The sequence below is a fragment of the Homo sapiens genome, chromosome X (genome assembly GCF_000001405.40).
Source record: "Homo sapiens chromosome X, GRCh38.p14 Primary Assembly".
In the NCBI taxonomy this organism is placed as follows: Eukaryota; Metazoa; Chordata; class Mammalia; order Primates; family Hominidae; genus Homo; species Homo sapiens.
Window position 1 is genome coordinate 9,767,196 of NC_000023.11, and position 20,850 is coordinate 9,788,045.

The 20,850-nt window shown below is 49.0% G+C and overlaps 2 protein-coding genes across 3 annotated transcripts in view; one reads left to right on the forward strand and one right to left on the reverse strand.

The window, feature by feature from the left end:
- The window catches only part of GPR143 (G protein-coupled receptor 143), a 53,257-nt gene extending 41,850 nt beyond the window's left edge, over positions 1 to 11,407 (reverse strand). Inside the window, exon 1 of the mRNA XM_024452388.2 lies at positions 11,383 to 11,407. The gene's annotated coding sequence lies outside the window, so the exon portion shown is untranslated. The remainder of the gene's footprint in view (positions 1 to 11,382) is intronic.
- SHROOM2 (shroom family member 2) overlaps positions 19,234 to 20,850 on the forward strand; it is a 163,015-nt gene continuing 161,398 nt past the window's right edge. For both annotated transcript variants that reach the window (NM_001649.4, XM_005274500.5), the window contains exon 1: positions 19,234 to 19,515. In NM_001649.4, the coding sequence (NP_001640.1) occupies positions 19,351 to 19,515 (165 nt within the window). In that variant the 5' untranslated portion in view covers positions 19,234 to 19,350. The remainder of the gene's footprint in view (positions 19,516 to 20,850) is intronic.

Here is a 20,850-nt window from a genome sequence, read left to right on the forward strand (position 1 = left end):
GGCTGAAAATAGAAGTGCTCCTTCTAGATTATGGCCTTTATTTTAAAAAAAGAAAAGAAAAAAAAATCCAGCTCCATCATATTTATCATCTTCAACAAACCTCATTGGCTCTTTGTGACCACACAAGAGACACCCTTCCTCCTCTCTCCTGGTAAAATGGGCCCCTCTCTGGGTTTTTTTCAAGCAACCAAGGTGCAGGTGTCCCCATTGTGTTCATGGACTTTCCTCACTTGTTCTCCCCACCAGCTTTGCGGTTTTAAGGAAGGCATGATCTGTGCCGTCTTCCTCTAGGGATAGCAGGACTGGCCTTCCCTTGGGACCCCACAGAAGGCAGGCGGGAGGCTCCACTGCCAGACAGGAAGCGGAGCCTTATTTAACAACAATGAGGTGCAAACTCCACCACTTCAAAAGAGTCCAGATCTGGCACGTCTATAAACGCAGCCTGTTCACTCCACAGCTGCCTTCCTAGAAGTCAGAACAGACTGACATCTTCAGAAAGCTTAACAGCTCTGCTGGATTACACACTCCATTGTAAAAACAGTCAGAAGCACCATAGAACTACTCCCCAAGCATTAATGTTTAAAAGCTTGAATTCTAATATCTAATTTGGACAGTGGCTCTCTTTCCTTCTGCCTTGGTAAGCAGAGTTGCTTCTGGAGGTTAGTGTAATGGAAAGTGCTTTAAAAGATAAAAATGAAGAGTGTCTGTACATTTGCCTGAAGGTTGAGGGCCAGTGGGCCAGGCAAAGGGGTCCCTGCATTTGAGTCACTGTTTCATGCCCCAGAAAACACACTCCGCCTCTCTGCTTCCTACGTGATAACCTGGGAGTACTCTCCAGGGGGCTCTGGCTGACTCTGGTGCCCACTACTCAAGCTCAGTAGTCAGAATCTCATCAGTGAGAAAATGGATATGAATGCAGATTCCTAGGGCCATGGCACAGATGACAATGGTAAAGATGAGCCTCAGAGTAAAGGTGCAGAAGCATGAGTGTAAGACTAAATTTAAAACCCTGTCATCAAAGTGAGAGGGAACTAGAAATTGGTATGAGAGGCTGGGCCCAGTGGCTCACACCTGTAATCTCAGCACTTAAGGAGGCTGAGGCAGGAGGATTACTTGAGCCCAAGAGTTTGAGACCATCCTGGGCAACATAGTGAGAGCCCATCTCTAGCGTCTTCCTCTAGGAGCAGCATCTTTTGAAGTGGTGGAGTTTGCAGCTCATTGTTGTTAAATAAGGCTCTGCTTCCTGTCTGGCAGTGGAGCCTCCTGCCTGCCTTCTGTGGGGTCCCAAGGGAAGGCCAGTCCTGCTGTCCCTAGAGGAAGACGACACATCTCAAATTAGCAGAGCGTGCTGCTGCGCACCTGTAGTTGCAGCTACTGGGGAGGATGAGGTGGGAGGATCACTTGAGCCCAGGAGTTTGAGGTTGCAGTGAGCTGTGATTGCACCACCAAACTCCAGCTTGGGTGAACTGAGATGACAAACTTTTTTTTTTTTTTTCCTTTGAGACAGAGTCTTGCTCCATTGCCCAGGCTGGAGTGCAGTGGCGTGATCTCAGCTCACTGCAATCTCTGCCTCCTGGGTTCAAGTGATTCTCATGCCTCAGCCTCCTGAGCAGCTGGGACCACAGGCACATGCCATCACACTCAGCTAATTTTTTGTCTTTTTAGTAGAGATAGGTTTCGTCATGTTGGCCAGGCTGGTCTTGAACTCCTGGCCTCAAGTGATCCACCCGCTTTGGCCTCTCAAAGTGCTGGGATTACAGGCATGAGCCATCATGCCTGGCCTGACAAAACTTTTCATGAAACAGTACAACTACAAATCTGAGAAAAGTGAAGCAAATACACACGCACACACTTGGGAGGCAGAAACATCTGGAAGTTTCGTAGATATGGGAGATACAGGGATGGCGGTGCTGAATATGAACTTTGAGGTATGTGTGCAGAAACAATCGGTCTTTGAGTACATGAAGGTACATCTGTTTTTGCATGAACCCTTCCTCCGTTTTTCCCTCCTTCCCAGTTTAGCACCTGAATTCGCTCTCCATTTTCACAGTTTGGGCTGCCTGGGGCATCTGTTCCCTGGAAATGCTCCATCATCTTGGCTTTCTCTCATTCCACAATCCACCATTTACCCACCATTCCCACTTGATCAGATGCACTTGATCAACTGCTGGAAGACGGTTCCTGAGTTTCTCTCCCAGGCAGTTTATTTTTCATGGTGAGTCCCCTGACATCGAGATGTCTCAACCAAAAGAATGGGGTTTATGGTGAGACTCAGATATCCCTTAGAATCCAGTAGAGGAGGTGGCTAGGGGCAGATGGATGGCAGAAACAGCCTAAGTAAGGAGACTGCCATTCACAATAATTTGAATTTAAATAATAAATAAGATTTGTTTATTTATTTATTGACATGGAGTCTCACTATATCATCCAGGCTGGAGTGCAGTGGTGCGATCTCAGCTCACTGCAACCTCTGCCTCCCGGGTTCAAGTGATTCTCCTGCCTCAGGCTCCCAAGTAGCTGGGATTACAGGCGCCTGCCACCACACCTGGCTATTTTTTGTATTTAGAGTACAGACGGCGTTTTGCCAAGTTGTCCAGGCTGGTCTCGAACTCCTGACCTCAGGTGATCCGCCCGCCTCAGCCTCCCAAAGTGCGGGGATTGCAGGCGTGAGTCACTGCGCCCAGCCTAATAAATAAGATTTAAATAATAAAATAATTTATGGAGTGTAGGCAGGCACTATGCTTTGAATATTACATTCATTATCTCATTTAATATTCAGAATGAGCCTTCCAAGTGGGTTTTACTGATACTTAAATTGATATAGACAAAACATGGCCAGGTGCAGTGGCTTATGTCTGTAATCCCAGTACTTTGGGAGGCCAAGGTGGGAGCATTGTTTGAGCCCAGGAGTTCAAGACCAGCCTGGGGCAACATAGGGAGACCCTGTCCCCCACCTCCCCCAGTCAAAAAAAAAAAAAAAAAAAAAAAAAAAAAAGCCGGGCTCAGTGGCTCACACCTGTAATCCTAGCACTTTGGGAGGCTGAGGCGGGCAGATCACCTGAGGTCAGGAGTTCACTACACTCCAGCCTGGGCGACAGAGCAAGAACAGGAGAAAGAAAGAAAGAAAAAGAGAGAGAGAGAGAGAGAGAGAGAGAGAGAGAGGAAGACCAGCCAATACATAAGTCCATGGGTATGGCTGTGTGCCAATAAAACTTTATTTACAAAACAGGCAAAGGGCCATAGGCTGCAGTTCCTGTAAGTCTACCACCTGAGGCTCTGGCTTATCTAGCAGCTGCTTGAAAGGCTGGGCAACAACCGAGAAATGGAGGAGGATTAACACTTAGTGGGGCAGACAAACTTATTCCAATGAGAGAGGAAGCAGGAAGTCACTGGCAGATGTATTGCTCACCCTTCCTTCCTAGGGAGGTTTCTGAGGAGTGGTTTCATATGTTCCTGTGTAACCAGCTGGGTTTCTTGGGAATCTTGTGGCCAGTTCATGAATGGCACTGCTCTTAATTTGCTTTCTTCCTTCCTTGCCTCACCCTGCTTTTGTGCTCACTCCTAGAGTCCTTATAGACACACAATGTGCCTTAAACTCTGTGCTCAGATAGCTGCTCTTCCTGAGAAAGGATTTCAGCTGCTCCAGCCACAGCCCTCTTTTGGGTCCACCAGATGACCAACAGCATCTTTGCCTTTCATTTAAGTGCAATTCAACAGGAGTTTATGAGTAACATACGCAAGTTGATTGAGCAATGGTATAGATTCTGTGTCCAATAAATAAGGTAGTGTCACCAGACCTTAATGAAGAACACAGGCCAGGTGCGGTGGCTCATGCCTGTGATCCCAGCACTTTGGGAGGCCAAGGTGGGCAGATTGCCTGAGGTCAGGAGTTCAGGACCAGCTTGGCCAACATGAAGAAACCCCTTCTCTACTGAAAATACAAAAACTAGCCAGGCATGGTGGTGCAGTCCTCCCGCCTCAGCCTCCTGAGTAGCTGGGACCACAGGCATACACCATCATGTCTGGCTAATTAAAAAAAAAATGTTGTAGAAATGAGGTCTTGCTATGTTGCCCAGGCTGGTCTCGAATTCCTGGTCTCAAGCCATCCTTTCACCTTGGCCTCCCAGAGTGCCGAAATTACAGGCCTGAGTCACCTCACCCAGACCAAATTGTACATTTTTTTAAATAGGGAGACATGTGAAGTGGCATCAGGCCTGAGAATGGTACTAGTTCAACTTTACTGTGCATTCGCGTGCAGATCTTGTGGAAAGGCAAATCCTGATTCAGGGTTTCTGGGGGTGGGGCCCAAGACTCTGCATTTCTTACATTCTCCAAGGAGACATGGCTGCTGCTGACCTATGGCTCCTACTTTGAGTGCCAAGACCCTAGAGCTTGTATCTTATCCTGAAAAGCAAAGAAAACTCCCAGGCCATATTTGAATTTATGGAGGACTTGGTTCAAAATAGATGCAGTAAAATTGATTAGCATCCAACTAAGCCATGGAGCATTCTCTCTCTTTTTTTTTTTTTTTTGGATGGAGTCTTGCTCTGTTGCCCAGGCTGTGGCAATAGAGTGGTGTGATCTTGGCTCACTGCAACCTCCGCCTCCCAGGTTGAAGCGATTCTCCTGCCTCAGCTCTTGAGTAGCTGGGATTACAGATGCGTGCCACCACCCCTGGCTAACTTTGGTATTTTTAGTAGAGGTAGGGTTTCACCATGTTAGCCAGGCTGGTCTTGAACTCCTGATCTCAGGTGATCCACCCACCTTGGCCTCCCAAAGTGCTGGGATTACAGGCATGAGCCACCGCGCCCGGCTGGAGCATTCTCAACACAGTGGATGAGTCAAGGAGGGAATCATTAGTCGGAGAATGGTGAGCAATGTCCTTCCTCTTGGATTCTGATGTGTTTGGGACTAACCTGGGACAGAAGTCAGGACGCAGGGAGGAAAAGAAAGGGAAGAGGAAGACAACAGATAAGGACTGAGAGAGGCAAATACGCGATTTGTGTTGAAAAATAGGATGTCCTGACAATTTTCTCCTATTGAAACTTAAGGGAGCATTTCCATCCTGGTCTGTTAAAATAGGAAGCCAGTATTGTGATAAACTCCCAGGAGAAGCTCTTGCCCAAGTGAGTAGCACATTGCCCTCCCATGGACCTATCCATGGCTAACCTCCTAACTCATCACACTCCATTTTAAATGCTTTCTCCGTAAAAGTCAACTAGTCAGTTGTTAACTGTGAGAACAAGGTGAAAATGGAAAGTAAAACAGGGTTTGCTTCACAGTGATTCAATTTTCAATTCACAATTAAATTTGGCAGAACACGTCTATTTCAAAAAGAACAACTGACCTGGGCGCAGTGGCTTATGCCTTTGGGAGGCTGAGGTGGGAGGATTGCTTGAGCTCAGGAGTCCAAGACCAGCCTTGGACAACATATAGTGAGACCTCATCTCTACTAAAATTCAAAAAAATTAGCCAGGTGTGGTGGCATGCACCTGTGGTCCCAGCTGCTGTTGGGGGCTGAGGCGGGAGGATTGCTTGAGCCTCCAGGGTTGAGGCTGCAGTGAGCCGTGATAGTGTCACTGCACTCCAGCCTGGGTAACAGAGCAAGATCCTGTCTCAAAAAAAAAAAAAAAAAAAAAAAGACATTGATAACAGTCTGATGGAGTAAATATGCCAAAAGTAACAATTTTCATATAGCTCAGAGTTGAAACTGGCATTTGTGATGGAATAAACAGCAAGTAGAAAGAAAAGGAAACAAGACAGATATGAAAAGCTGATTGTGGTATGAGTGGTTGATGCTATTAAATGTTTAATGACTACCACAACAGAGCCACAAATAAATGGACGAGTACAGACTATTAAAGACAGTTCAATGTTTATTTAAATTAACATCAAGTACGGTGTTTTACATGTAAATTCACATCGCGTGCTTTTTCTGATGTGCAAGAAAGCATGCATAATTCTACACGCCTTCATGGTGAGAATCGTTCTCACATTTGCCTGCCTAAAGACATCTGTCTGCCTAAAGACATTTGTCTACATTTCTTTATAAGAATGTCAGAGTTTCAGTTCAGTTCACCTTATCCTATTTGGTGATATTTGGACTTTTCAGCTCAAAAGGAGAAAAAGTTTTTAAGGAAAATTTCCAACATCCACAAAAGGAATGTAATGATTTTGAGACCTGATGCTTAGCTATGTACTTGAGTTCAGTTGACAAACGCTCAAGGCCCATTAAAAGCAAACACTTTTACATAAATCTGCTCTCTTTGGAGTGGCTTTGAAAGTACACACACACACACACACACACACACACACATAAACACACACGCACACACATATACTTTTTCGTCATATCTACAAACAAAATTGACTCTTCATTGAATTTTAGAAAAATTGCCCTGGAGTGGTGCTTCACACCTATAATCTCAGCACTTTGGGAGGCCGAGGCGGGTGGGTCACTTGAGCTCCGGAGTTCAAGACCAGCCTGGGCAACATGGCAAAACCCTGTCTCTACCAAAAATACAGAAGCATGGTGGTGCACGCCTGTGGTCCCAACTACCTGGGAGGCTAAGGTGGGAGGATCTCTGTAGCCAGGGAAGTTGAAGCTGCAGTGAGCCGAGGTCGCACCACTTCACTCCAGCCTGGGGCGACAGACTGAGACCCAGTCTCATAATAATAATAAAGAATTTTAGAAAAATTACATACACTTCATTGACAGCCAAATTGAACTTAGAAAAAAAGTTTTATTTGTGCTTTTAAGATCATGAATGATGAAAATGATTTGTTCAATCAAAAGTCAGCAAACCCAGCCAGATGCAATGGTTCACACCTCTAATCTCAGTGACTTGGGAGGCTGAGGTGGGATGATCACTTGAGGCCAGGAGTTCAAGACCAGCCTGGGCAACATGGCGAGACCCCTTCCCACACCTCCCATCCTCATCTCTTAAAGAAAAAAAAGTCAGTAAAACCATTCCAATTTGAAATGATGTCCCGAATGTATAGATGTTCTTGAATATCCTATCTCCTACCAAAGTCAAAAGACAGAAATCCCATTAGGATGCCAGCTTCTGTGTTTCCTGGCAGGATTCAGTCCCTTGTGGGCTGTCTCCAAGGCCGTGTAGTTCCTTGTCACATGGGCCTCCCCACAGGGCAGCTCACAACAAGGCCGGTTGGTTCCTCACAGTCAGCGAGAAAGAGTCCACCACAGCCACTCTCAGGGCCGCCTGGTGGGGCGAGGGGGCTGCAGTGTTCCTGTCCCACTTCTGCCAGTCAGCCAGTCCAGCCTGCCCCTGGGGGTGGGCACTTCAACACCCAGGGTTGGCTGGCCCTTCAGCCTCCCTGAGTGAGTTCCTGCCACCTGAGCACGTCTTCCTACAAAGAGGGGCAAGGACCAGCAACTGAGACTGAAGGAAATCTTTAATGGACGGAAGGAGGACTCCATCCTGGGGTCTCTAGGTAGCATCTGCTGCCCTCTCCATCCAGAATTAAATGTGCTTGGTTTGACCTTGTGGAATGGCCAAAAATGCTTAGGGTTGATTACAAAACTTTGAGAAAGTAAAACTTGTTGCAGTGGCTTAGTGTTTGGACTTGAACCCCTTCTTCTCCTCCCAGGGGAATTTGGCAGCTCTGCAAATATTCCACATAAGGATTTTTTTTAATTGTTTTTTTGTTTGTTTGGTTTTTTTTGAGACAAGGTCTCGCTCTGTTGCCCAAGCTGGAGTGCAGTGGTGTGATCAGGGCTCACTGCAGCCTTGACCTCCCGGGCTCAAGCGATACTCCCACCTTAGCCTCCTGAGTAGCAGAGACGACAGGCATGTGCCACCATGCCCAGCTAACTTTAAAAAAATGTAAAGACAGGGTCTTACTATGTTGCACAGGCTAGTCTGGAACTCCTGGCCTCAAGCAATCCTCCCACTTTGGCCTCCCAAAGTGCTGGGATTATAGGTGTGAAAGGAATGGGTTTTGAACACAGACTTAGAACCCAGACAGCCTGATCTGTGGTGGTTGTTCGGTATTGACCTGGCTGAATGAAACATGAGAGTCTTGGACTGTGTCCATCCTCTGGAAAACATGAGAAATTCATGAATGGAGAAATGGTGCCTAAGGGTAGAACTTCAGCTGTGCAACAGGCAGATAACGATTCTGTGAGCCAGGTGGTCTCAGCATGGGAAGAGAGGTGAACAACAGGAGCCACGGAGAGAGGTGGGTTGTGTACTGAGAAGAGGAAAGTTCAGTGATATTATATGATTGCCTTCCATGGGCTGGGAACATCAGATATGCATCGTCTTTCGTAACTCTCACCTCCACCCCTGTGGCTCCTCTGTTTTATCCCTTCTTAATGCATGAGGCACCAGCAGAGGGGAAGGAACTCGTCTAAGATCACACATCTGGTGGAGCTGAGAATCAAACCCAGGCAGATGATGCCATGAGTACTGCCACAAGAGGGGGACTGGGGATGCCCCTTGCAGTCACCAAGAGTGTCTGCAAACTAGTCCGACAAGAAAATGCATCTTCTCACCCCACCCTCTTGAAGCTGCACTTTTCTTGAAGTCCACTTTTCAGAAGGCTGAGGCAGTTGCAGGTGGCCGAATTTGATGCTAAGTGCAACTGTGGTTTCAAGGAAGTGTGTGTGCGGCAGGGTGGGCTGGGGTGATGAGGACAGACATGCCTATACACATATTACATATTTAGCACATTATACTAACACATTAAAATGAGATGACTCTGGGATGACTGTCTGCCTTGGAGTCCGCCTTCATACAAGACTGTGAAATCTCATGTATCTAACAAAAAGGACTCAATTCCTCCTTAACCATAGACTTTGGCTAATTTTGCAATGACTGCTTCCCAGGCACTCAAGTAGCCTTGGGTAGAGAATAGGAAACCCACATTAACCTCAGGGGCATGGCTGCGGTTAAAGCTGACCTGCAGGCAGACAGCACGGCTTCCCTCAACACTGCACTGCGCCCTGCGGAGACATTGTCTGTGATGCTCACTAGAACGCACGTCAGGATCAGGAGCATGCAAAGGCACTAACATACCCAGTGTGGTCAGTTACTCCTCAGAGCAGAGCCTGATGGTTTAAGTGCAGTGGCCCTTTACCCCTAAGTCCTCGGGGTGATTGCTTTGTCCTGGTTTGAACATCTAGTGACCTAGAGTAAACGTAACGTGTGTATAACCTGAGGTTCTTAAATTTGTGACATTTCTTCTTTTCAAAGACAGAGTCTCGCTCTGTTGCCCAGGCTGGAGTGCAGTGGCACCACCACAGCTCACTGCAGCTCCTGGGTTCAAGGCATCCTCCTGCCCCAGCCTCCCCAGTAGCTGCAACTACAGGCACATGAAACCATGCCTAGCTTTTTTTTTTTTTTTTTTTGGTAGAGATGGGGACTGGCCATGTTGCCAAGGCTGGTCTTGAACTCCTGGCCTCGAGTGATCCTCCTGCCTTGGCCTACCAAAATGCTGGGATTACAGGTGTGAGTCACTGTGCCTGGCCCAAACTTGTGACATTACTTAATTTTATTTTATTTTTGAGACAGGGTCTCACTCTATTACCCAGGCTGGAGTGCAGTGGAGTAGTTATGGCTCACTGCAGCCTCCAACTCTCAGGCTCAAGCGATCCTCCCACTTCAGCCTCCCCAGTGGCTGGGACTACAGGTACACCACCATGCCTGGCTAATTTTTTTCTATTTTTTGTAGAGATGGGGTTTCACCATGTTGCCCAGACTGGACATTTCTTTATTACAGGAGTCAGAAAACTTTAAAAAATGAGCCAGATGGTAAATTCTTCAAACTTTGCAGCCCACCTGGTCTTTGTTGCAATTACCCAACTCTGCCATAAGAACCATGAAGTGTCCACAGACAGGAGGTAAAGGAATGGGCATGGTGTTGTGTCAATAAAACTTTATTTGGAGGAACAGATGGACATAATTTACCAACCACCACTGTATTGTAGCAAACTAAGTAAAACATAACAATAAAATAAGAAATATGCATGGGCTTTTGAAATGTGTATTTGTTGGATTTTTAAGAGTATTTGATTCGGCTTTACAAAATAAAAGAAACTCAGCCAGGCGTGGTGGCACACACCTGTAGTCCCAGCTACTTAGGAGAGTGAGGTGGTAGGATGGCTTCAGCCTGGGAGATTGAGCCTACAGTGAGCTATGATTGCACCACTGCACTCCAGCCTGGGTGACATGGTGTGATCCTGCTGTTAGCCTGCTGGGCAGCCATGGTGTGAACTGAATCTCTCAGGGAGAGAATGTGACACATTTCAAAATCCCGTACGTATCGTATTTTATTGTTATTTTGTTTTACTTAGTTTTCTACAACAGAGCAGGGATTGGTAAATTATGTCCATCTGTTTCTCTAAATAAAGTTTTATTGACACAATGCCATGTCTATTCCTTTTAGAGACCCTGTCTCAAAAAAACAAAAAAAAGAAAAAGAAAAAGAAAGAAGTCACTTCAAATTAATTATCATCATCTCTGCCTCATCATTGTACCTGAAGCATCTGGGATGTGTACCACCTAAAATTATGTACATGGCCTTTTTGTAATCCATTCCAGTCTGAGTAACATAGTGAGACTCCATCTCTTTAAAAAAAAAAAAAAGGGGGCCAGGTGCGGTGACTCACGCTTGTAATCCCAGCACTTTGGGAGGCCGAGGCGGGAGGATCATGAGGTCAGGAGATCGAGACCATCCTGGCTAACATGGTGAAACCCCGTCTCTACTAAAAATACAAAAAAATTAGCTGGGTGTGGTGGTGGGCACCTGTAGTCCCAGCTACTCGGGAGGCTGAGGCAGGAGAATGGCATGAACCTGGGAGGCGGAGCTCACAGTGAGCTGAGATCGCGCCACTGCACTCCAGCCTGGGCGACAGAGTGAGACTCCATCTCAAAAAAAAAAGGAAAAAAGGAGACAGCATGTAATGAAGCAAGCGGCTTACAAGAAATGTTGGATGCATACATTAAGCAGAGAGTATGTGAGCCATAGATAGATAGGGAGGGATGGAAGAACCAACAAGGCCCCAAATATTCCTGAGGTCTTACACTGGTTAGCACTGGGATGCCCATTCTGGCCACTCGTGTCCTCTCCCTGAGAGACCCAACTCACACCATGGCTGCCCAGCAGGCTAACGGCAAGCCACAGCTATGGCCAAGAACACTCGCTCCCACGTCTTTCTGACAGAGCTGCAGTGCTGACACCAAGCACCTTCCATTTGCTGATCCCCTCGCTCATGCTCAGTTGGGGTCCTCCTAACTGCATGGCCAGAAGGGTGGGATGAGGTGGCAGGAAGGAGAAAAAAGAGAGAGATAGGTGTACATTGGCACTGAGTAACTCCAGATTAAGGTAGTGTGGCCCTTTCCCCAGCTGATATCTGACCTTAAATGTATCCATCTTGAGCCTGGGAGACTGAGACTGCAGTGAGCTGTGATTGTGCCACTTTCCTGACCGGGCAACAGAGTGAGACCTGTCTCAACAACAACAACAAAAAAAAAAAAGAAAAGAAAAGAAAAAGAAAAAAGAGAAATTTCTCTTGTTCTAAGCCATAATGGTAATTTGTACACACAGCCCTAGGAAACTCATACAGTATCCCAAAGGCATGTCAAACTCCACCTGCTGAAGCACAAATCATTGCCTCCCCTCCTTGGCTCTTCCACTTCTTCCACTTCCAATCTTCCATTTATCTGTCTCTCAACTCAGTTACTTAGCCCAGAAACCCAGGAGTTAGTTTTAACACACCCCCCACAACATCACCCCCCCACCCCACACTTCATTTCGAGGTCTTTGAGCCCTCGAAGCCCACGCCCCCAGCCTCCACTGTTTTCTGCTCATGCTAGCCAAGCCTCCAGGTGCGCCCCGCCTCCACCGGAAACCCGCAATCACCAGGAATTCCCATCCTCAGCCTCCTCTCTCAGTGGCCCCTTCTGAAGGAGGCACGGAGGGACACCTGGCCCTCCCTGGCACTGTGCCTCCTCCAGCCATGGAGCATGGGCTGCTTTCCTCCCCACACCCCTCCTGACTACCCTGCTCAGGCAGGGGGTGGTGAAGGCGGCTTCCTGGCCCCACTCACCTTTTTCCACCTGCTTTCTCCCCACTTAAATCCCCTGCCTTGAGGCTGCTGGTGTCCTGGGCTCATACCACCCTGTTCTCTGTGCAGGTGAAGTCATTTGCTGACTCCAGAGTCACTCCCTTTCATTCCCTGGCTCACTATCACCCTTTTCTTTTTCTTTGCTTTTATTTTTATTTTTGAGATGGAGTCTCCCTCTGTCGCCCAGGCTGGAGTGCAGTGGTGCGATCTCGGCTCACTGCAGCCTCCACCTCCCGGGTTCCAGCGATTCTCCTGCCTCAGCCTCCAGAGTAGCTGGGATTACAGGCGCCCACCACGACACCAAACTAATTTTTGTATTTTTAGTAGAGACGGGGTTTCACCATGTTGGCCAGGCTAGTCTCGAACTCCTGACCTCAGGTGATCCGCCTGCCTCAGCCTCCCAAAGTGCTGGGATTACAGGCATGAACCACCGCGCCTGGCCTACTGTCACCCTTTTCCACCATTCTCCAGTGATAAATCATGACAGTTCCAATGTTCCTATCGATGAGCCTCACAGTTCTGCAGCTTCTTGGTTCCTCCACTGGAGATCTTGTTCTCCTTGCACTCAGCCACCATGCTGAGGTCACACCGTGGTCTTTGTTACCTACCGGTGGTAGCTGAGTCCCTCCACCCTCTCCAAGCCCTCTCCAAGCCCTCTCCAGGACACTCAGCTCCATGTGGGAATGGGTCGTGCTGGGTGACGGCAGACTTGTTGAAAGAATGAGCTCTGTGGTCACCAAGAGAAGGCACTATTGGAGGGTCGCTTTGTGCATGGAGACAGCCTTTTTGAAACTGATTTTGACATTATTCTCCTGAGAAGTTGTGTAAGAACTGGACTCACTAAGAGATTTCTGCCTTCCTGTCTTTAAGCAGATCAACTTTCCATGAAGGAGCTTCCTATCAGCCTGCAGCCTGCGTTGGGGGGTGGGGGCGCCACCAGAAGAACCCTCACCCCCACTTCCTCTCAGCCACCAGGATGCAGCTTTGTCTTTAAGACTTGGATGAGCTTTGAAATATTTCAGGATAAAAAGTGGGTGAAGGATGAAACAAGAGTTCTACTTTTGTGTCCATTCGAAATTTCCACAATGACAGATGAAAACTAAAATATTTTACTTATGGCTTTATTTATTTATTTACTTTGGAGACAGGGTCTCCCTCTGTCGCCCAGGCTGGAGTGCAGTGGTGCAATCTTGACTCACTGCAGCCTTGACCTCTGGGGCTCCAGCGATCCTCCCACTTTAGCCTCCCAAAGTGCTGAGATTACAGATGCAGGCCACCACACCCGGCCCTTATGGCTTTATTATCGTTTTTAACATTCTAATTTCTCTCCTGTTGAAACTTTTGTAGTTAAAAGTGGTTTAGCAGTTAATCGTACTGATTTTTCATGAGATTTCCTTTTCCTCACTGCTACAGATAATGTTTCATATTTCCTGCACCATTACATTCCCCCCCCCCCCCACCCAACAAGTATTGGGCAAGTAAAAAGTGCTCAAGAAATGTATGCTTACTGGCAATTTTATTAAAATACAAAAAATAGGCTAGGTGCAATGGCTCATGCCTGGAATCCCAGCACTTGGGGAGGCTGAAGCAGGAGGATCACTTGAGGCCAGGAGTTCAAGACCAGCCTGGGCAACATAGCAAGACCTCATCTCTACAAATAATAAAAAAATTGGGCCGGGCGCAGTGGCTCATGCCTGTAATCCCAGCACTTTGGGAGGCCGAGGCAGGCGGATCACGAGGTCAAGTGATCGAGACCATCCTGGCTAACGTGGTGAAACCCCGTCTCTACTAAAAATACAAAAAATTAGCCGGGCGTGGTGGTGGGCACCTGTAGTCCCAGCTACTTGGGAGGCTGAGGCAGGAGAATGGCGTGAACCTGGGAGGCGGAGCTTGCAGTGAGCCCAGATCACGCCACTGCACTCCAGCTTGGGCGACAGAGCAAGACTCTGTCTCAAAAAAAAAAAAAAAAAAAAAATTAGTTGGGCATGGTGGTACAGGTCAGTGGTCTCAGCTATTCAAGAGGCTGAAGTGGGGGAATCGCTTGAGTCCAGGCAGTTGAGGCTGCAGTGAGCTGTGATTACACCACTGCACTCCAGCATGGGCAACAAAGTGAGACCCTGTCTCCAAAATACAAAACAAAACAAAACAAAGCAAAACATAGTCAATGGCTTTCTAAAGCAATTTTTTTATGTTTCTTTGCTCTGTTTATGGGTCTTGCTCTGTTGCCCAGGATGAAGTACAGCAGCATAATCCCGATTCACTGCAGCCTCCGCCTCCCAGGCTCAAGCGATCCTCCCACCTCAGCCTCCTGAGTAGCTGGTACTACAGGCATACACCACCATGTCGGACTAATTTTAAAATTTTTCTTTAGAGAAGGGGTCTCCTTATGTTGCCAGGCTGGTCCTGAACTCCTGGGCTCAAGCAATCCTCCCACCTGGGCCTCCCAAAGTGCTGGGGTTACAGGGGTAAGCCACCGCACCTGGTCATCCCAATGTTTATAATAATAGCTCATAGAAATCAAGAAGATGCCAAACCTTGGTGACAAAGGGTAAACGTTCCGTGTCATAGTTTTCCTTTTTTTGGGGGGTGGGGGAGATAATATCTCACCCAGGCTGGAATGCAGTGACATGATCTTCATTCCCTGCAGCAATCCTTCCACTTCAGCGCCCCAAGTAGCTGGGATCACAGGTACATGCTTCCACGCCCAGCTAATTTTTTTGAATTTTAGTGGAGACAAGGCTCTGCTATGTTGGCCAGGCTGGTCGAGCTCCTGGGCTCAAGCGATCCTCCCACCTGGGCCTCCCAAAGTGCTGGGGTTAGCAGTATGAGTCAGTGTGCCCTTCCCACAGATTTCCTTCAACTGCATCACTCGTGCTCTCTGATCTTGACTGATCCTGTGCCAGTCTGAATTAATAGGAACACAGCGGGTTTAGTAGGAAGTGGCTAATATTGCCATTTTTAAAATGCCACACTAAAAGGTTTTCTGGAAGGCTTGACCCTACGGAGCCACTATTTGAAATGTGAAAGTAAAATTTTGGAACTCCATCTTCTACCACATTTTGTAATGAGTATAAATCTCTTTTCTTTTTAGAACAAAAAGCTAAAATAATTTGAGCTGTATTTCATAAAGAAGATTAGCTATTAATGAAGTCTCTGAACGTTGGTTAATTTGCCTTACATTAATTAATTCATTCACTGTTGACGAAGTGAAAGCAGAACCATCCTCAGTTTCATCTATCTCTTCTCTCATAGGAAATAAACCTCAGATTAGCAAAAGTGGCCGGGGACTGGGTGCGGTGGCTCACGCCTGATCCCAGCACTTTGGGAGGCCGAGGCGGGTGGATCACCTGAAGTCAAGAGTTTGAGACCAGCCTGACCAACATGGTGAAATCCCATCTCTACTAAAAATACAAAAATTAGCTGGACAAGGTGGCGCATGCCTGTAATCCCAGCTACTTGGGAGGCTGAGGCAGGAGAATCACTTGAACCTGGGAGGCAGAGATTGCAGTGAGCCAAGATCTCACCATTGCACTTCAGCCTGGGCGACAAGAGCAAAACTCCGTCTCCAAAAAAAAAAAAGAAAAAAAGAAAAAGAAACAGTGGCCAGGTACAATGGCTCATGCCTGTAATCCCAGCACTTTGGGAGGCTGAGGTGGGTGGATCACTTGAGCCCAGGAGTTTGAGACCAGCCTGGACAACTTAGTGAGATCCTGTTTCTACAAAAAATAAAAAATTAGGCAGGCATGGTGGCATATGCCTATAGTCCCAGCTACTTAGGAGGCTGAGGTGGGAGGATCACCTAAGCCTGGGGCAGTCAAGCTTCAGTGAGCCATAATCGTGCCACTGCACTCCAGCCTGGGTGACACAGTGAGACTCTGTCTCAAAAAAAAAAGAGAAAAAAAAAGAAAAGAAAAGAAAAGAAAAAGAAAAAGTGAAACAAACACCTAAGGCTACTGAATCCCCGGGGCAGGCGCTCATAGGGTCACACTCCTTGCAGGTCCAGAAGAGAGTATATGCTCACCCTATTCTCTGAGCAATGAACAACCACAGTGAGAAATTACACAGAACAAACATGCCCCTCAGCTTTCCAAAAGGACAAAAGACTAACATGGACAAATGGATTCTGCTTCTGAAAATTCCACCTGAGTTGTGAGTTCTCAGAAAAGAAAGCCATCTACTAGGAGTCCATACACTGGTTCAACGTCATACTAAAACTCTCCCAATGGGGGTGCAAGACTGATCAACTGGGGTGATGCCTTTCAGCCACAAGATATATTTTCACAAGATTATTGACAGTGTCTTGTGATGACAAAACAAACACAATATAGAAGTGCTGTCATCGCACCTAGACCATAGTAACCCCAAGAATATCACAAAAGGATTTATGACTGAGCAGGCACCTGTCTCATAGCAGGCCACACAAATCTTGGTTCAGTCCCTTACAGCATAACATCATTATAGACAGCAGCCTTATAAATATTCCAACCATCCTGAGATGGATGCTTAATGTGAAGATTAAAAAAACAAAACACCCCAGCTAAACACTGTTTAGTAAGGATGGATGTAAATTTCTAGCTAAGTTTAAGAACAAGGGAGTCCTTTTAAAAAGTATAAACCTTTCAAGTGGCAGATGGGTAATCTGACAATGATTACGTACGGTGAACATAAAATGTTAAAGATGACTTTGGGGCTATATAGAATAATGCTGGATTTATGGAGACAATGAAATCACTGTCTCTGCTTTATAATGAGTCTAGTGGTCTGAATTTTAGCCCCAGGTAAGAGCTTAGACTGAAGTCTATACCAGCTTGGGGTGGGGAGGTAGGGAGTGGGCTGTTTTGGGAGACGGACATGTCTGCAAACTCTAATAAGCACACTGGGTATATTTATACAGCTCTTTATCTTTTGGTTTATCATATCCATCCATTTCTTAAACTTTGTGAGATAACTGGATTTACATGTAGTTGTAATGTGTCCAGAGTTGGTTCCTTCCGGTGGGTTCTTGGTCTTGCTGACTTCAAGAATGAAGCTGCAGACCTTTGCTGTGAGTGTTACAGCTCTTAAAGGTGGCACAGACTCAAAGAGTGCGCAGCAGCAAGATTTACTGTGAAGAGCGAAAGAACAAAGCTTCCACAGCATGGAAGGGGACTGGACCGGGTTGCCACTGCTAGCTGCAGTGGCCAGCTTTTATTCCCTTATTTGACCCCACCCACATCCCGCTGATTGGTCCATTTACAGAGTGCTAATTGGTCCATTTTACAAACCTCTAGCTAGCCACAGAGCGCTGATTGGTGCATTTTACAATCCTCTTGTAAGACAGAAAAATTCTCGGAGTCCCCACCCAACTGGCTTCGCCTCTTGGTAAGGAATAATACAGGGAAGTCCTGTGCACCCTTCACTCTTCACCTGCCTGTTCCAATGGCAACACGTTACAAAACTACAGCACAATGTCACAACCTGGAATATGGACATTGATACAATCCACCAAGCCTTTTCAGATTTCCCGTTTCACGTGCATTTAGTTCTGTGCAATTTAGCTTAATCAACTTGGCAGCTCCTGTGACCATCACCACAGTGAAGATACACTCGACTTGATTCTGAGAGGCACATTCCTTAAGCCTTCGTTTAATCTTTGAAAAAGAAAAAATCGCCTCATTCTTCTAACTAAAGGCATTCAGAGACTGTAGTTAGAAGTTAATTATGGGGCAGTCACCACGTGCCCAGCGCCATGACAGGTGCCCAGTGGAGCTGCGACTCTGAATTTAATCGGCTGCATGAGACACCTCCACAGAATGCACCCCTCTCACTTGACCTCTGAAGAAACAGACCAGAGCTGAGATTTCTTGTCCCAGCTTGACAGTGGCAGAACCCAGACCCGGGGACCCTTGACTCTCTGTCCAGTGCTCTCCCGGCCTGTCCTGGATGCGTACTCCAGCATCGTCACCTCTGAAAAGGGCCTGGATGGAGCTGCTTAGAGAAAAGAGGTGTTCACCAGCCTTCAGCTACGTATAGAAACAGCAACGAAAACAGCTTTTTTGCAAAGCATGTAAATACCTATCCATGCAGGTACTTTAGACCAGAGTTTCATGGAAACTGAAACCGAGCAGGAAGAGGTGGCACACATGTTGTCCGCAAACTTTCACCAATCCCAGACCTCCACCTCCCCTTTTCGGGGATGTAAACCTGGGAAACTTGAAGACCTTGTGGTCCAATCCTAGGCGAGTGGGGACAGCATCTAGACGCAACGGCTTTCTGCGCGGTGGCTGTGGGAGGCCTCTGCGGGAAGGTGGGAAGGCCCTCGTGGAAACGGGGCACGGTCCTTCTGCGCCCGCCTTCCAAGCCCCTCCAGAGGCCGGACCCGCGCCCGGCTCAGGCTGCTGGGGGGCGCCCTTCCCGGCTCTCTAAGTCCAGAGTGTGAGTGCGCGCAGGGCCGCGCGGGACGGGCGGTCCCTCTGCCCCGGGGCAGCGGCCACAGCGCGGGCACCAGGGCCTCCCGCGGCGCTTCCGCTCTCACCTGCGCGGCAGCCCGCGGTGCGCGAGAACAAAGTGTGGGCGCCGGCGGGCCGCGCGCCCCGAGACGGAGGAGGCCGGAGACTCCCGCCACGCCACCCCGCGCCCATCTCACCTGCCGCCTCACCTGCCCGGTCCTGGCCTCCAACCGGCGGGCGGGGGCGCCCAGAGCTTCGAAGCACTGCAGAGCTCTGGCGCGGGAGGAAAGGCCCGACCTGGCGCCGGGGCCTCCGCCCCCGTCCTCGCCCGCGCTGGCTCCGCCAGCCCCGGGGCGCGCGCTCCTCGACCCCGACCCCGAACCCGCTGAACGGCGCGCGCGCCTGAGCGCCCCTCCCGGCCCGCTCCCCTCCACCGGGCGAGAGAACCGGGGCGCGCCCCTCTCCAGCTCTCCCCGGTACGAGCGGCCGCGTGGGCCCCTGAGCGCGCACCTGACCCCGTCCCTCACCCTTCGGGCCGCGGGCTGGACCTCTGGACGCGCTCCCCGTGACCGGCCCCGCGGTACGAGCTCCCGAACGCGCCCGCCCCGCCCCCCGTCGGCCCCGCCCCCTCCCCGCCAGCCCCGGCCCCGGCCCCGGCCCCGGCCCCGCCCCCTCCCCGCCAGCCCTCCGGGCTCCCTCCGCCGCCGGGCCGGCACTTTCTTTCCAAGTTACGGCGCAAGTTCTGCGGCGCTCGGAGCCTCCCTTGCGATCCCACGGCCGGGACTGCCCGGAGTGCATGGGCGCGGGCCAGGGACGCTGAGCGGTCGCGCCATGGAGGGCGCCGAGCCCCGCGCGCGGCCCGAGCGCCTGGCCGAGGCCGAGACGCGGGCGGCGGACGGCGGGCGCCTGGTGGAGGTGCAGCTGAGCGGCGGCGCCCCGTGGGGCTTCACCCTGAAGGGCGGCCGCGAGCACGGCGAGCCGCTGGTCATCACCAAGGTAAGGCGGCCGCGGGGCGCGGGCGCTGACAGCCGGGAGCTGGCCGCCCTGCGGGGCGCGTCGAGGTAGGGGCGCGGGAGGGGCGGTAGGCTCGCGCCCCCGGGTCTGGCGCGCGCGTCTGCTGGGGTCACCTGCCGGGCCTGGGCGCCGGGACCGGCGTGGGCGTGTGATCCTGGCGGTTCCCCGCGCCTCGCAGAGTTTAAATGGCTCCTGCCCGGAGTCCCTTTCCCCTCCCCCTCCCTCCTCCGGGCAGGGGCCTGGCCGGGTCCTCTGGCGCTCCCGGGCCCGCCAGTGGCGGCCTGCACCTGCGGGGCTGCCTGGAGGCCAGCGAAGGAACGTGTCCCCGAGCCGTCCCCACCTATGTTTGCCTCTCTGGGGTCCCTGGTTCGGCACCCCTTGGACCCGTGCCTGTGATCACTACGAAATCCAGAGTAGCAGCTGTCGCCAGCGCAACTTCTCGATTCCCTTCAGCCCATCAATGTTTACTGACTTTCGGCTTCCAGTCCCAGATCCACTGCGCACTGGATACCTGCGCAAACTTAGAGAAACCTGAAAGCCTGCTTCCTAAGAGCAGGACCCGAGTTCTAATAATAATAAAGAAATTCCAGATGTATCTCATCAGGAATGTTGTGTGTGTGTGTGTGGTTTGCTTTAGAACATTGAATTTTATTGTCTCAAAACAAAATCCATCTGGAAACTTACCAGTTGAACCTGTATGAACTTGTAAAAGCAAACACATAAACAACAGTCCAGTCACCCTGTGTTCTAGTTAAAAGTGTGTAGTGGTCATTTTCTCTGGGAAGGGTTGAGTCGGACCTTTCGTGTGGACGAAGTTCCTTTTAAAATGTAAAGATTCTTGGCGACTAGAAGCGTTTGAAGATAATTTACTGGTTTTCTCGGCTTTCCTGCCTCTCCACAGCAGGAAGAAATTAAGTGATTCCTAACCCGCCGCACTGGTAATCAGTTTGGGAAGTGGGATGGCTTTGTTGTTCAAATAGCAAATGAGACACCAGCGTCTTCCATTCTATATTTTCTGTCGCTTTTATGATTACAAAACTTTGTGGAGGGATTTGGAGAAGCCTTGTTTAGCTTTGCACTAAATTTTTGTTGAACTCAGGAAAGAGGTTGCCATTGTTATAAATTTGACCAATGTGTAATCTTTTATCACACTGGCTTCTTTGGAAACATGGTGGACAGTCATAAAGTGTGTATACTCTGCCCAGCCAGAACACTCCTCTTTTTTTTTTCTTTTATTTCTTTTCTTTTCTTTCTTTCTTTCTTCTTTTTTTTTTTTGAGACAGGGTCTTGTTCTGTCAGCCTCCTGAGTAGCTGGGA